Below are 15051 nucleotides of genomic sequence, written 5' to 3' on the forward strand. Positions count from 1 at the left end.
AGGCCAAGGTGGGAGGATTGCTTAAGGCCAGGAGTTTAAGACAAACCCGGGCAACATAGCAAGACCCCATCTCTAAAAAATAAAAAGATTAGCTGCATGTGGTGGCACCCATTTGTGGTCCCAGCTACTTGGGAGGCTGAGTCAGGAGGATTGCCTGAGCCCAGGGTTTGAAGCTGCAGTGAGATATGATTACACCACTGCACTCAGCCTGGGCAACAGGGCAAGATTCTGTCTCTAAAATATATACATATTTTTTCCCTATGTTTTTCCTGTGAACTTTTAGTAGGGAAAAACTGTCAGTTTCTCAAAATCTGCTAGTTTCTCAAAATGTTTCCCAGTTATCTCAGAAAAAAAACACATTTCAACTGTATTATTTTTCTGCCTTGGCTGGGTGCAGTGACTCATGCCTGTAATCCCAGCACTTTGGGAGGCCGAGGCGGGCAGATCATTTGAGGTCAAGAGTTCGAGACCAGCCTGGCCAACATGGTGAAACCTCGTCTCAACTAAAAATACAAAAATTAGCCAGGCGTGGTGGTGGGCGCGTGTAATACCAGCTATTCGGGAGGCTGAGGCAGGAGAATCGCTTGATCCTGGGAGGCAGAGGTTACAGTGAGCTGAGATCGCACCACTGCACTCCAGCCTGGGCGACAGAGCCAGACTCTGTCTCAAAAAAATAATAATAAACTGCATGTTTCTCTGTCTCAAGTTAAAAAGAAACAAAATAATTCAACCAAACATATCACAAATTCAATTAACTGATACAAGTAAGAATAAATTATGTTGACTGGAATTATCATTGTCATTTGAATCTCAGCAGGATATGAAATTAGCTCTTCTAGATAGAAGCAAGATTAGGACATCATTGTTGTAATGGTCATTTTAGTTTCAAAGGACAAAAACCCAGCAAAAATGAAGAGGTGGATTTCTGGCTTTGGACATATCTAGACTACAAACTATAGCATCTCTGCCTCACTCTGTATTGCTCAGTTGTGCTTTCTTCTGGCTTGTCTGTATTCTCAAGAAGGCTCTGCCAAGTCATGACAAATATGGCACTTTCTGGCACCACAAAGCAAGGAGGGAAGAGGTGGTTGTTTAGTAAAATTTGCTAGAAAAAGTGGCCCACATTTTGGGGAAAAATAAAGCTGGATTCCTACTTAATATCACATACAAAGGTGATTGCCAATGGATTAAAGACCTAAATTTGAAGATAAATATATAAAGTTAAATAAGAAAATGTGGGAGACTTTATGTTGAGAAGGAATTCTTCAATGAAACTCAAAAGCGTAAGCCATAAGACAAAAATGTGATAAATTTGATCAACTCTTCGTATTCAGTGAAGACCACTGTGGAAGAGTTAACAAACAAGTAACAAGATAGGAGGAGACAGTCTTAATGTCTAAAACTGATAAGTGGCTAATATCTAGACTATATAAGAGATTCATACATCAACAAGAAAAAGACAGGAACCCCAGTAAATGAGTAATTAATAAACGACAAAACCAGTCTATAACAGGCATATGCTGGGATACTCAAGCTCATTAGGAATCAGAGAAATAAGAATGAAAGACCATTGAGATTTCATTTTACACCTCTGGCAAAAATTAGAAAGATGGATAATGCAACTGCTAGCTGGCACTGGGGATTTTTCAAGACCTCTTTTTTTAAAAAAAGGAATAAACTTACCCTGTGCCACAGAATTTATCCCTGGTTAAATATCCCAAAGGAATTTTGATACTGGCCCATATGAAGACGAAAGAGTATTATCATAGTCTAGTTTGTATTGATGGGAAACTGGATGCAGTCTGAGAGGTCACACTGGAGGAGTCAATAGGCAAAATACAGTGGAACACCATGCAGCTGTTAGAAAAAAGGGATTAAATAAATATATAGCAACACGAACAAATCTTTAAAACAGTGCTGATGTACTTATCAGAATACCATTTATGTTAATTTAAAATACATGCATACAAATCAGCAGTACACATTTAGAAGGAAGCTCTGTAAACAAAATGTGGATTTTAAATGCCTTGGAGTGTTTGTCAGCAGTGGGAAGAGGATGGAAAGGGAAACAGGAGTAACAAGAGGATCAAGAAATAAAACGCAAGAGGTCTTGTGTGGACTGTGATAATGATGTCATGAACAATGACATCACTAACTCAGCCCTCTACATCTGAGATTCAACAAAAGAGAAACGTAAGAATTGCACCGATCAGATAGATGAATTGAGAATATTTTTTTGTGAAGGAAATGGTTTAATTCCAGAAGGAAATTGAAGATGGACACAAACTCCTTGGTGCACTCTATTTCTCTTCCCTTAAATCTGGGCTCTGTGACTGCTTTACCAATAGAACTGTGGCTAAAGTGACTGTGTACTAATTCTGGGCCAGCAAAAGTTCTGGGCTTCTGCTTCCTCCCTCTTGGAATCCTCACTCTTGGGAAACTCCCTCAGAACCCAGAAACATGCTGTGAGAAGCCCAAGACACATGGAGAGGCCATGCGTAGACGTTTCATCAGAGCGGCCCAGCTGAGCTCCAGCCTGGAGCTGTGAGCCATGACAGCCAGCTAGGCTTTCCAGCCCAATTAAGCCCCAGGGCAACTACAGCCCCAGTTGATATCACAGGAGCAGGAGACCTACCAGCTGAGCCCAGTCAATCCACAGAATCATGAGGGTTTACACATGTTGTTTTAATCCGCTATATCTTGGGAAATTTGTTACACAGTGACAGATGAACCATATAATTGCCACATCATTAAAGAATAATCAGAAGCATCCAAATCACAGTGATGCTCAGAGTGATCCCCAAACCACAAATCATTTCTTCAAAATTTACAAAAAGGAAAGGCAAAAAGCAAACCAATACTTTTTTTTTATATATATACTTTAAGTTTTAGGGTACATGTGCACAACGTGCAGGTTTGTTACATATGTATACATGTGCCATGCTGGTGTGCTGCACCCATTAACTCGTCATTTAGCATTAGGTATATCTCCTAATGCTATCCCTCCCCCCTCCCCCCACCCCACAACAGTCCCCAGAGTGTGATGTTTCCTTTCCTGTGTCCATGTGTTCTCATTGTTCAATTCCCATCTATGAGTGAGAACATGTGGTGTTTGGTTTTTTGTCCTTGCGATAGTTTACTGAGAATGATGATTTCCAATTTCATCCATGTCCCTACAAAGGACATGAACTCATCATTTTTTATGGCTGCATAGTATTAAAAAGCAAACCAATACTTTAAGAAGGGATGTGGTGATATTGCAAATCAATCAAACAGGATGAGATTTTACAGCTACAGAAGGGTGGAGGTTTAGTGGTCTGCCAGAAGTCCTACCCCTCCCAAATGGCCCAGAATGTTGGGGAGGCCACGAGGTCCATTTCTTTCTCACTTTTCCTGTCCTTTCATACCTTGGTATTTCAGCCCAACTATTTGATCTGTAAACAAGGATTCTCTAATTTATTGCATGAGGTAATGTATATAAAAATACTTGATAAAATGTAAATACCTATAAAACAGTTATATATTTTTAAAATTTTAATCTATTTATTTATTTTGAGATCAGGTTATGAGACTGGCTGATTTTTGTATTTTTGGTAGAGGTGAGGTTTCATCGTGTTTTCCAGGCTAGTCTCAAACTCCTGAGCTCAAGCAATCTGCCTGCCTCAGCCTCCCAAAGTGCTGGGATTACAGGCATGAGCCACGGCACCTGAGCAAACAGTTATAATTTTAAAGCTTAATTAACAAAAAGACCTTCCATTACTGTATCCTCAATTTCTAGGTATAAAGAATTTTAAAGGCTGGGCACAGTGGCTCACGCCTGTAATTCCAGCACTTTGGGAGGCCAAGGCAGACAGATCACTTGAAGTCAGGGGTTCGAGACCAGCTTTGGCCAACATGGCGAAACTTTGTCTCTACTAAAAATGCAAAATTTAGCCAGGCATGGCTGCATGCATCTGTAATCCTAGCTACTGAGGAGGTTGAGGCAGCAGAATCACTTCTGGAGGCAGAGGTTGCATGAGCTGAGATCATGCCACTGCACTCCAGCCTGGGTGACAGAATGAGACTCTGTCACCAAAAAAAAAAAAAAAAAAAAAAAAATTTACAAACTACAAACCACTGTATTTGGGTTGCTTTCATATTTAGTCTGCTGAATATTTGATCTGGACAATGTTATATGTATTTGGGACATCTATTTAAAATCAAGAGATTTCACACAAAAATTTAAATGTTTATTTTCTCCTGAAAAACTGGAAGACGTGACAACATGAAGTCCTTGCATTTTCTAATGTCAACAATGGATGTCTTACCCCAAGCTCCACTCACAAAAGCAGAAACTGAGACAAGGATATGTGTTCAGCAGTTTGTTTTGGGAAGAGATCTGGGGACAAGAGAGAAACAAGGAAGAAATGCCAGTGCAAGGTTGTGTTGCAAGGTCACTGCTGTAGGCACCTGGAGCTCAATTCCACTGGGGACTCTAAGGAGCTGTGTAGGATAAGCCTCAGTTTTGTGCCTGAAAACAGAAGAGGGATTATTTATCTATCAGCTCCTATCTCCCCTTGGTCAACAGTTACACCATAAGGTGTTAACTCTCGAACTTCCAGGTTCGCCAATGCAACCGCATGGCTGAACAGATTCTTGCAGCCATCCCATTCAGCAGCATGGCTTTCGGAAGCCCCAGGGGCAGAAAGCAAGAGATACACAGGGCAGCTGAGGCAAGATATTGTTAGTTTACACTTGTTCACAGCCAGTTTCTGCAGCAACTACTGGAAGAGATGGTCAAAAGGCGGGAACACAATGTGGAGGAGCTGAGCAGCAAGTGCCTCAGGTCGCCAAATTTAACAAATTAGGATGAGCTTGTTTTCATCTATGAGAATCCACTCAGAGCTGTTGATTTTTAAAACTTTTACTTACCATTTTCTTCTATTTTTTAGCACCATGGGCTCCTCTGCTCCTGCCCCAGTGTATACAGGTCTTCACGTAGAGGGCAGCAATGTGTTCTGTCTGCACAGAGGCTCTAGCTTGGACGAGCTCTATAAAGAGGTCAGTGACTTCCCAGGATGCCAACACTCTGCTTCCGTAAGTCAAGACATAAGTGCCTAATGACCAGCTAGGAGGATCTGACTCTTCTTAGGTTCTACTCCTGTTTTCTAGATGTTTTATTATTATTATTATACTTCAAGTTCTAGGGTACATGTGCACAACGTGCAGGTTTGTTACATATGTATACATGTGTCATGTTGGTGTGCTGCACCCATATATTTCTAGATGTTAAAAGGCAGCCTATTTATTAAAAGTATAAACTTGCCTGAGTTTGAATTGGCTCCACCTCTTACCGTGTCCTCTCTGTGCCTGAGATTTCTTATCTGTAAAACAGAAATTTAATATAACCTATGTTATATTAAATTAAATTAAATTATATTAATATAATATAATATTAAATTATATTATATTAATATAATATAATATTAAATTATATTATATTAATATAATATTAAGTTAAATTATATTATATTTAATATAATATAATATTAAATTATATTAAATATAATATAACCTATATTATATTAAATTATATTATAACATAGGTTATATATAACCTATGTTATATTAAATTTAAATATAATTAAATTATATTAAATTAAATGTCATAGGCTTATGGTTAAGATTCAATGAGTTAAGCTGGACAGGGTGGCTTACACCTGTAATCCTAGTGACTCTGGAGGCTGAGGCAGGAGGATTGCTTGAGCCCAGGAGTTAGAGGCTGCAGTGAACTATGATCATGCCACTGCATTCCGGATGGGGAGACACCTGTCTGCTAGAAAAAAAAAATTCAATGAATTAATGTATGTTAAGTATTTAGAACAGTGCCTGGCACTGAGTAAGTAAGCCCTTGGTAAAAATCCCGTTCCGTGTTGTCCACATATGTGATCAACTCCAGCTGTCCTCTTTGGGTAGGAAGAAAAACTGGTATGCATCTAGTTATTGAGGGGTTAACAATGCCAGAACCCATTGCCTTTGTTAAATTCCCCACAGTGCAACACATAGAAAATACTATTGATGGGGCCTAGGACATGCCACCCTAAAATATGATGGTAGAAGACCAGAATATGCTATCCCGGATGTGCCCCTTTGGCATAAGGATTATTTTTGAGAAACTGCAGACACAGGAGAAGCTCAGAAAAGTTACCCTTTTGTAAGACAAACTGACATTTATGAAGGAAATCTCCATTTTTAAAGGTGTCTTTCTCTCTGCACCAGAAAGAGAAGGATAACTAAATCACTAGAGACTCTTATCGATGGAGAAATAATTGCCTTAAAATGTCCTAACAGGCAGGATGTGGTGGCTCACGTCTGTTATCCCAGCACTTTGGGAGGCTGAGATGGGCAAATGGCTTGAGCCCAGGAATTTGCTACCTGCCTGGGCAACATGGCAAAACCCCATTTCTGCAAAAATTAGCTGGGCATGGTGGTGCATGCTTGTAGTCCCAGATAGTTGGATGGCTGAGGCGGGAGGATCACCTGAGCCTAGGAGGTAAAGGCTGCAGTGAGCTGAAATAGAGCCACTTCACTCCAGCATGGGCAACAGAGTGAGAGCCTGTCTTAAAAAGAAAAGAAAAAGTCATAACAAAACTTGCCCTTATTATCTAGAACTAGAAATACCATTTGACCCAGCAATCCCATTACTGGGTATATACCCAAAGGATTATAAATCATGCTGCTATAAAGACACATGCACACGTATGTTTATTGCAACACTATTCACAATAGCAAAGACTTGGAACCAAGGCAAATGTCCAACAATGATAGACTGGATTAAGAAAATGTGGCACATATACACCATGGAATATATGCAGCCATAAAAAATGATGAGTTCATGTCCTTTGTAGGGACATGGATGAAGCTGGAAACCATCATTCTCAGCAAACTATCGCAAGGACAAAAGCCAAACACCGCATGTTCTCACTCATAGGTGGGAATTGAACAATGAGAACACATGGACACAGGAAGGGGAACATCACACTCTGGGGCCTGTTGTGGGATGGGGGGAGGGGAGGGGGATAGCATTAGGAGATATACCTAATGTAAATGACGAGTTAATGGGTGCAGCACACTAACATGGCACATGTATACATATGTAACAAACCTGCATGTTGTGCACATGTACCCTAAAACTTAAAGTATAATAAAAAAAAATTGCCCTTATTAAGATGCTTTTCTTGATCATCTCTCCCTAACCAGGCTTTCCGCATACCCTTCTTCCTTTGTTTCAGGAAACATGGTGTTTAAGCCTGACCTCTAAGACAACTTTTTGAGATCTACTCTAGGAGATTTACTTATTTCTCTGGGTATCTCTCATATGTACAGGATATATACTGCTATTAAACTTCTGATTGCTTTTCTCTTGTTAATAAGGAGTAATTGGCTGGGCACAGTGGCTCATGCCTGTAATCCCAGCACTTTGGGAGGCCAAGGCGGGCGGATCACAAGGTCAGGAGATCGAGATCATCCTGGCCAACATGGTGAAACTCCATCTCTACTAAAAATACAAAAATTAGCTGGGCATGGTTGCGCACACCTGTAGTCCCAGCTACTCGAGAGGCTGAGGCAGGAGAATCACTTGAACCCAGGAGGCGGAGCCTGCAGTGAGCCAAGATCATACCACTGCACTCAGCCTGGTGACAGAGCGAGACTCTGTCTCAAAAAAAAAAAACTAGTAATTAATAATGGTCCTCTTTTTACAAATGGAGATACTAAAGTATCAGAGTGATACAAATAATGAAAGGTCACACCACTTGTTCCTGGAGGTGAGATTTAAGCCCAGGGGTTGGGTGCTATGGCCACTCCCTTAACTATTCTTCTAGAGCTGGTGTTCTCCTGCCTCTGCTCCTGTCCCTTCCAGGACCCAGCTCTCTAAAGCAGCTCAGGAGGGTGATCATGTCCTCAGGCCTTTTGCTTTTTAATTGGTAACATCTGGAGCTACAAATTCTTTCATGGCCCAAAACGAATGAGGCTACATTGGTAGAATTAATAGGCAGTGGTAAGATTTTAAGCTTGTGCACTCAGCCTGGCAATGTCAATAATCCTCCTTCTAAAAACATTGTCACTGCAATAACCCCAGCCCAGTTAAAACTGCTCAATGTATGCTGGGCATGGTGGCTCATGCCTATCATCCCAGCAATTTCAGAGGCCGAGGTGGGCGGATCGCTTGACCTCAGGAGATCAAGAACAGCCTGGGCATCATAGTGAGACAGCATCTCTACTAAAAATATGAAAAAATAGTCAGGCATGCATAAAAAAGGATGAGTTCATGTCCTTTGTTGGGACATAGATGAAGCTGGAAACCATCATTCTGAGCAAACTATTACAAGGACAGAAAACCAAACACCACATGTTCTCACTCATAGGTGGGAATTGAACAATGGACACAGGGTGGGGAACATCACACACCAGGGCCTGTCGTGGGGTGGGGGGAGGGGGGAGATATAGCATTAGGAGATATACCTAATGTAAATGACGAGTTAATGGGTGCAGCACACCAACATGGCACATGTATACATATGTAACAAACCTGCACATTGTGCACATGTACCCTAGAACTTAAAGTATAATAATAAAGAAAATAGTCAGGCATGGTGGTGTACACCTGTTGTCCCAGCTACTCAGGAGGCTGAGATGGGAGGATCGCTTGAGCACAGGGGGCAGACGTTACAGTGAGCCGAGATCAAGACACTGCACTCCAACCTGGGTGAGAGTGAGACCCTGTCTCAAAAAAAAAAAAAAAAAAAAAAGACTGCTCAATGATAAGGACAATAGTAACAAACACTACAGAGTACTTACTAGGTGCCAATTCCACAACAAGTGTTTGACATGTCTCATTTAATCTGCTAAACAATGAGTTGAGTACTGCTGTTACCCCCCTGCCATGTTTCAGATAAGGAAACTGAGGCTTACAATGCTTAAATTAGGGTCACATGTAGCCAGGAAGCAATGCTGCTAAAATATCATCAAAGGAGCCCAATTGCTTCCTTCTGTAGTATTTTATTTCCAGAATGTCTCCTAAACCACTAGCTTTTCTATAAATCTGCACGCACCATCACCCGGACTACAATAAAAAAATAATCAAATGATAATCTTAATAAAAGCATTGAAAACATTATTTTACATCTCCAAACCTGTGTTTGTTCCCATCTGTGTTTGAGTGGGTAGGAGAAAATTCTGGTAACCTCCTCATTAGTCAATCCTCCCCCACCAGACTGATTCAGCCCCATAAACAATGGATATAATTATACTGAACAATGGTGTGTTCATTTCCATGTCTAGACATAGAGTTTACATTTGAAAACAAACGAGAACAGAAAAGAGAAAGCACCCTACTGGTTTGTTTGTTTTAAGGTAGAGTCTTGCTCTGTCGCCCAGGCTGGAGTGCAGTGGCGGGATCTCAGCTCACTGCAACCTCCACCTCCCAGGTTCAAGCAATTCTCCTGCCTCAGCCTCCTGAGTAGCTGAGATTACAGGTGCCTGCCACCATGCCTGGCTAATTTTTGTACTTTTAGTAGAGACAGCGTTTTGCCGTTTTGGCCAGCTGGTCTTGAACTCCCAACCTCAGATCATCCACCCACCTTGGCCTCCCAAAATGTTGAGATTACAGGCATGAGCCACCGTACCCGGCCCCTACTGTTTTTTAATTATCTGTAGCAAACTTTTTCTTAGCCTGGATGCTTCCCTTTTGATTAGGATATTCAGAGTATCAGGAATTTTCTTGAAAAACATTCTTATGTAAAGCTAGCGGTGTTAATTTAGGAGTAAAACACAAATACATTTAAACAGTCTCTAGTCTGAGTAGAAACAAGTCATTTTAAACCATAGAGGATTGAGAAAATCATGAATGCGTGAAAGTTTGATGAAGAATAAGTCATTTTCATAGTATCAAAGTATCCTCCCACAAATTACATGTTAATTGTCAAAAGAAAAATAGTAACATGACAGTGGCAAGACCTGGACAAGCTTCATCAAATAATCCAAGTTAACATCATCAATATTGGGACAAACTGACATCAGGAAAACTGATATGATGTGTCTCCAGAAATGATACACTAAAATGATACACTAAGAATGGCACATCATTTCTGCTCAAAAATGCATAACCTGAATCTAATCATGAAGAAATTTCAGATAAATTAAAATCAAGGAACATTGTACAAAACCAGCCTGTGTTCTTCGAAGGTGTCAGTGTCATCATGTACAACAAAGAAAAACTGAAGAACTATTTTCAGATTAAAGAAGAACAAAATACAATTTAATGGGTTTCAGTATGTTTACAGAGTTGTGCAGTCATCACCACTATTGAATTCCAGAACATTTTCATCACCCCCAAAAAAGCCCATTCCTATTAACAGTCCTCCCTCCAGCCCCTGGCCATCACTGATCTTTCCATGTCTATGGATTTGCCTATTCTGGACGTTTCTTATAAACAGAATCACAATATGTGGCTTTGGAGGCTGGCTTCTTTCACTTAAGATGTTTTAAAGGCTAATCCATGTTGTCATGTGTATCAGTACTTCATTTCTTTTTATGGCTGAATATCATTACATTGTATGGATAGACCACATTTTGTGTATCTATCTGTCATTAGCTGATGAACATTTGGGTTGTTTTCACCTTTTGGCTATTATGAATAATGCTGCTATGAATATTTATGTATAAGTACTTGGGGGACTTTTTTTTCTGTTTTTTTTTTTGAGACAGCCTCACTCTGTCACCCAGGTTGAAGCGCAGTAGTGCAGTCTTGGCTCACTGCAACCTCTACCTCCCAGGTTCAAGTGATTCTCCTGCCTCAGCCTCCCAAGTAGCTGGGATTACAGGCATGCACCACCATGCCCGGCTAATTTTTTGCATTTTTAGTAGAGATGGTTTCACCATGTTGGCCAGGCTAATCTTGAACTCCTGGCCTCAAGTGATCCACCTGCCTCAGCATCCCAAAGTGCTGGGATTACAGGTGTGAGTCACCACACCCAGCCTCAAACATATGTTTTCAATGCTCCTGGGTATATACCTAGGTGTAGAATTGCTAGGTCACATGGTAACTCTATGTTTAAGTTTTTGATGAACTTCCAAGCTGCTAGCAAAAGTGGTTGTACTATTTTACATTTCGACCAGGAAATATGTAAGGGTTCCAATTTCTCCACATCTTTGCCAACACTTGTTATTGTCCATCTTTTTTATTATAGCCATTCTAGTGAGTATGAAGCAGTATCTCATTGTGATTTTGATTTGCATTTCTCTAACAATTAATGGTGTTAAAGATCTTTTCATGTGCTTTTTGGCCATTTGTATGTCTTTAGGGAAATGTCTGTTTAGATCCTTTGTCAATTTTTAAATTGGGCTATCTTTTTATTGCAGAGTTGTAAGAGTTTTTAAGTATATTCTAGATACTAGACCCTATCAGATATATGATATTCCAAATATTTTCTCCCATTCTGTAGGTGGTCTTTTCATTTTTTTTGAGAGTGTCCTTTGATGTTCAATAGTTTTTAATTTTGATAAAGTCCATTTTATCTATTTTTTCTTTGGTTGCTGGCTGTACTTTAAGTATTATAGATAAGAAACTATTGCATGATCTGAGGTCACAAAGTTTTATGCCTATTTTCTTCTAAGGATTTTACAGTTTTAGCTTCTTGGGATTTTGAAAGCAAACATACTATATTTGGGTGTGCTGCTCCAACCCACTTAGCATAAAGGAACCAATTTTGAGTGATGTCCCAAAGCAATAAAAAACTCTGCAGCAAATCCCGGCTGTGGTACAAGCCACTGTGCCACTTGGGCCTTTGGACACATAACACTTTGAATGTTCTTTGGTTAAAAAAAAAGGAAATTTATTTTGTATTTATTTATTTATTTTTTGAGACGGAGTCTCGCTCTATCGCCCAAGCTGGAGTGCAGTGGCATGATCTTGGCTCACTGCAAGCTCCGCCTCCTGGGTTCACGCCATTTTCCTGCCTCAGCCTCCCCAGTAGCTGGGACTACAGGTGCCCGCCACCTGGCCCGGTTAATTTTTTGTATTTTTAGTAGAGACAGGGTTTCACAGTGTTAGCCAGGATGGTCTTGATCTCCTGATCTCTTGATCCGCCCGCCTCGGCCTCCCACAGTGCTGGGATTACAGGCGTGAGCCACTGCGCCCAGCCAAAAAAAAAAAAAAAATTTTAAGGTACTAGACAAAGCCACTGGTGAGCCCCAGGAGGAGAATCTTAGCACACATATGTACAATTCTGGAGCAAAGTCATGCCCTCTTTTGCTGTTAATTATTCTCCTTTTGAGAAGCAGTTTCTGATTTACTACTAAGCCCTGCTAGAGACATGTTTGACTATGGGAAGTCAAGCATAGCCATGTGCTTTATCATGATGTTTCAATCAGTCATGAACCACATGTACAACAATGGTCCCATAAGATTATAATGGAGCTTAAAAATTCCTATTGCAAGGTTCAGCATAGTGGCTCATGCCTGTAATCCCAGCACTTTGGGAGGCCAAGACAGGAGCATCACTTGAGGCCAGGAGTTTAAGAACAGCCTGGGGCCGGGCGCGGTGGCTCACGCCTGTAATCCCAGCACTTTGGGAGGCCGAGGCGGGCGGATCACGAGGTCAGGAGATCGAGACCATCCCGGCTAAAACGGTGAAACCCCGTCTCTACTAAAAATACAAAAAAAAAATTAGCCGGGCATAGTGGCGGGCGCCTGTAGTCCCAGCTACTTGGGAGGCTGAGGCAGGAGAATGGCGTGAACCCGGGAGGCGGAGCTTGCAGTGAACCGAGATCCCGCCACTGCACTCCAGCCTGGGCGACAGAGCGAGACTCCGTCTCAAAAAAAAAAAAAAAAAAAAAAAAAGAACAGCCTGGACAACACAGTAAGACCCCATCTCTACCAAAGTAAAAATTTTAAAAAATCTAAAAATGAATTCCTATCACCTAGTGACATTGTAGCTGTTATAACATTGTAGCACAATACATTACTTGTGAATTTATGGTGATGCCGATGTAAAGAAACCTGCACTGCCAGTTGTGTAAAAGTGTAGCACTTACAATTAGGTAAGCACATAATACTTCATAATGATAATAAATGACTTGCTACAGGTTTATGTATTTACTATACTATATTTTTAATCATGGTGTCTACTCTTTGTACTCATTAAAAAAGAAAAAGGAGTTAACTGTAAAACAACCTGAGGCAGGTCCTCCAGGAGGAATTCCAGAAGAAGGCATTGTTATCATAGGAGATGACAGCTCTATGCACGTTATTGCCTCTGGAGAACTTCCAGTGGGAGAAAATATTGAGGGAGAAAATAATGACATTGATGACCCTGACCCTATGTAGACCTAGGAGAATATTGGTGTTTGTGTCTTAGTTTTTGGTTTTCTTTTTTTTTTTTTTTTAATTTTTTTTGAGGTGGGGTCTGGCTCTGTTGCCCAGGCTGGAGTGCAGTAGCACAATCTCAGCTCACTGCAACCTCTACCTTCCAGGCTCAAGCGATCCTCCCACCTCAGCCTCCTGAGTAGCTAGGACCACAGGCATGCACCACCATGCCCAGCTAATTTTTTGTATTTGTAGTAGGGATGGGGTTTCACCATTTTGCCCAGGTGTGGTGGTGCATGTCTGTAATCCCAACTACTCAGGAGGCTGAGGCGGGAGAATCGCTTGAACCCAGGAAGGGGAGGTTGCAATGAGCTGAGATCGTGCCACTAAACTCCAGCCTGGGCAACAAGAGCGAAACTTCACCTCAAAAAAAAAAAAAAAAAAAAGTCTTTAAGTAATTTTGAGTTGATTTTGACTGAGCATGGTGGCTCATGCCTGTAATCCCGGCACTTTGTAGGGGCGGAGGTGGGTGGATCTCCTGAGCTCAAGTGATCCTCAGCCTCCCAAAGTGCTGGGATTACAGGCATGAGTCACTGTGCCCAGCCTTGTGTTTCTGTCTTAGCTTTTAACAAAAAAATTTAAAAAATAAAAAACAAAATACTTTTTCTTTTTTTTTTTTTTTGGATACAGCCTCATTCTGTCGCCTAGGCTGGAGTTCAGTGGCGCAATCACAGCTCACTGCAGCCTCAACCTCCTGGGCTCAAGCTATCATTTCACCTCAACCTCCTGAGTAGCAGGGACTACAGACACACACCATCATGCCCAGCTAATGTTTATATTTTTCATAGAGATGAGGTTTCACCATGTTGCCCAGGCTGGTCTCAAACTCCTGAGCTCAAGAGATCCACCCAGCTTGGCCTCCCAAAGTGCTGAGATTACAGGCACACACCACTGCCCACTGTGCTCGGCCCAAAAATTTTAAAATAGAAAAAAACTTATACGATAAGGATATAAAGAAATAATATTTTTGTACAGCTGCACTATGTGTTTGTATTTTAAGCTAAGTGTTATTACAAGAGTCAAAAAGATTTCTTAAACTTTATAAGGTAAAAATATTATTGAAGAAAAAATATTTTTTATACATTTAGCATAGCCTAAGTATATAGTGTTTATAAAGCCTACAGTAGTGGCTGGGCGCGGTGGCTCATGTCTGTAATCCCAGCATTTTGGGAGGCCGAGGCTGGTGGATCACCTGAGGTCAGGAGTTCAAGACCAGCCTGCCCAACATGGCGAAACCCTGTCTCTACTAAAAGTATAAAATTAGCCAGGCGTGGTGGTGCATGTCTGTAATACCAACTACTCAGGAGGCTGAGGCAGGAGAATCGCTTGAACCCAGGAAGGGGAGGTTGCAGTGAGCTCAAATCGTGCCACTGCACTCCAGCCTGGCAACAAGAGCGAAACTTTATCTCAAAAAAAAAAAAAAAAAGTCTTTAAGTAATTTTGAGTTGATTTTGGCTGGGCATGGTGGCTCATGCCTGTAATCCTGGCACTTTGGGGGGGCCGAGGCAGGTGGATCACCTGAGGTCAGGAGTTCGAGACCAGCCTGACCAATACGGTGAAACCCCGTCTCTACTAAGAATACAAAAATTAGCCGGGCATGGTGGCCCACACCTATAGTCCCAGCTACTCGGGAAGCTGAGACAGGA

This window comes from Homo sapiens, chromosome 3 (assembly GCF_000001405.40).
Source record: "Homo sapiens chromosome 3, GRCh38.p14 Primary Assembly".
Classification (NCBI taxonomy): Eukaryota; Metazoa; Chordata; class Mammalia; order Primates; family Hominidae; genus Homo; species Homo sapiens.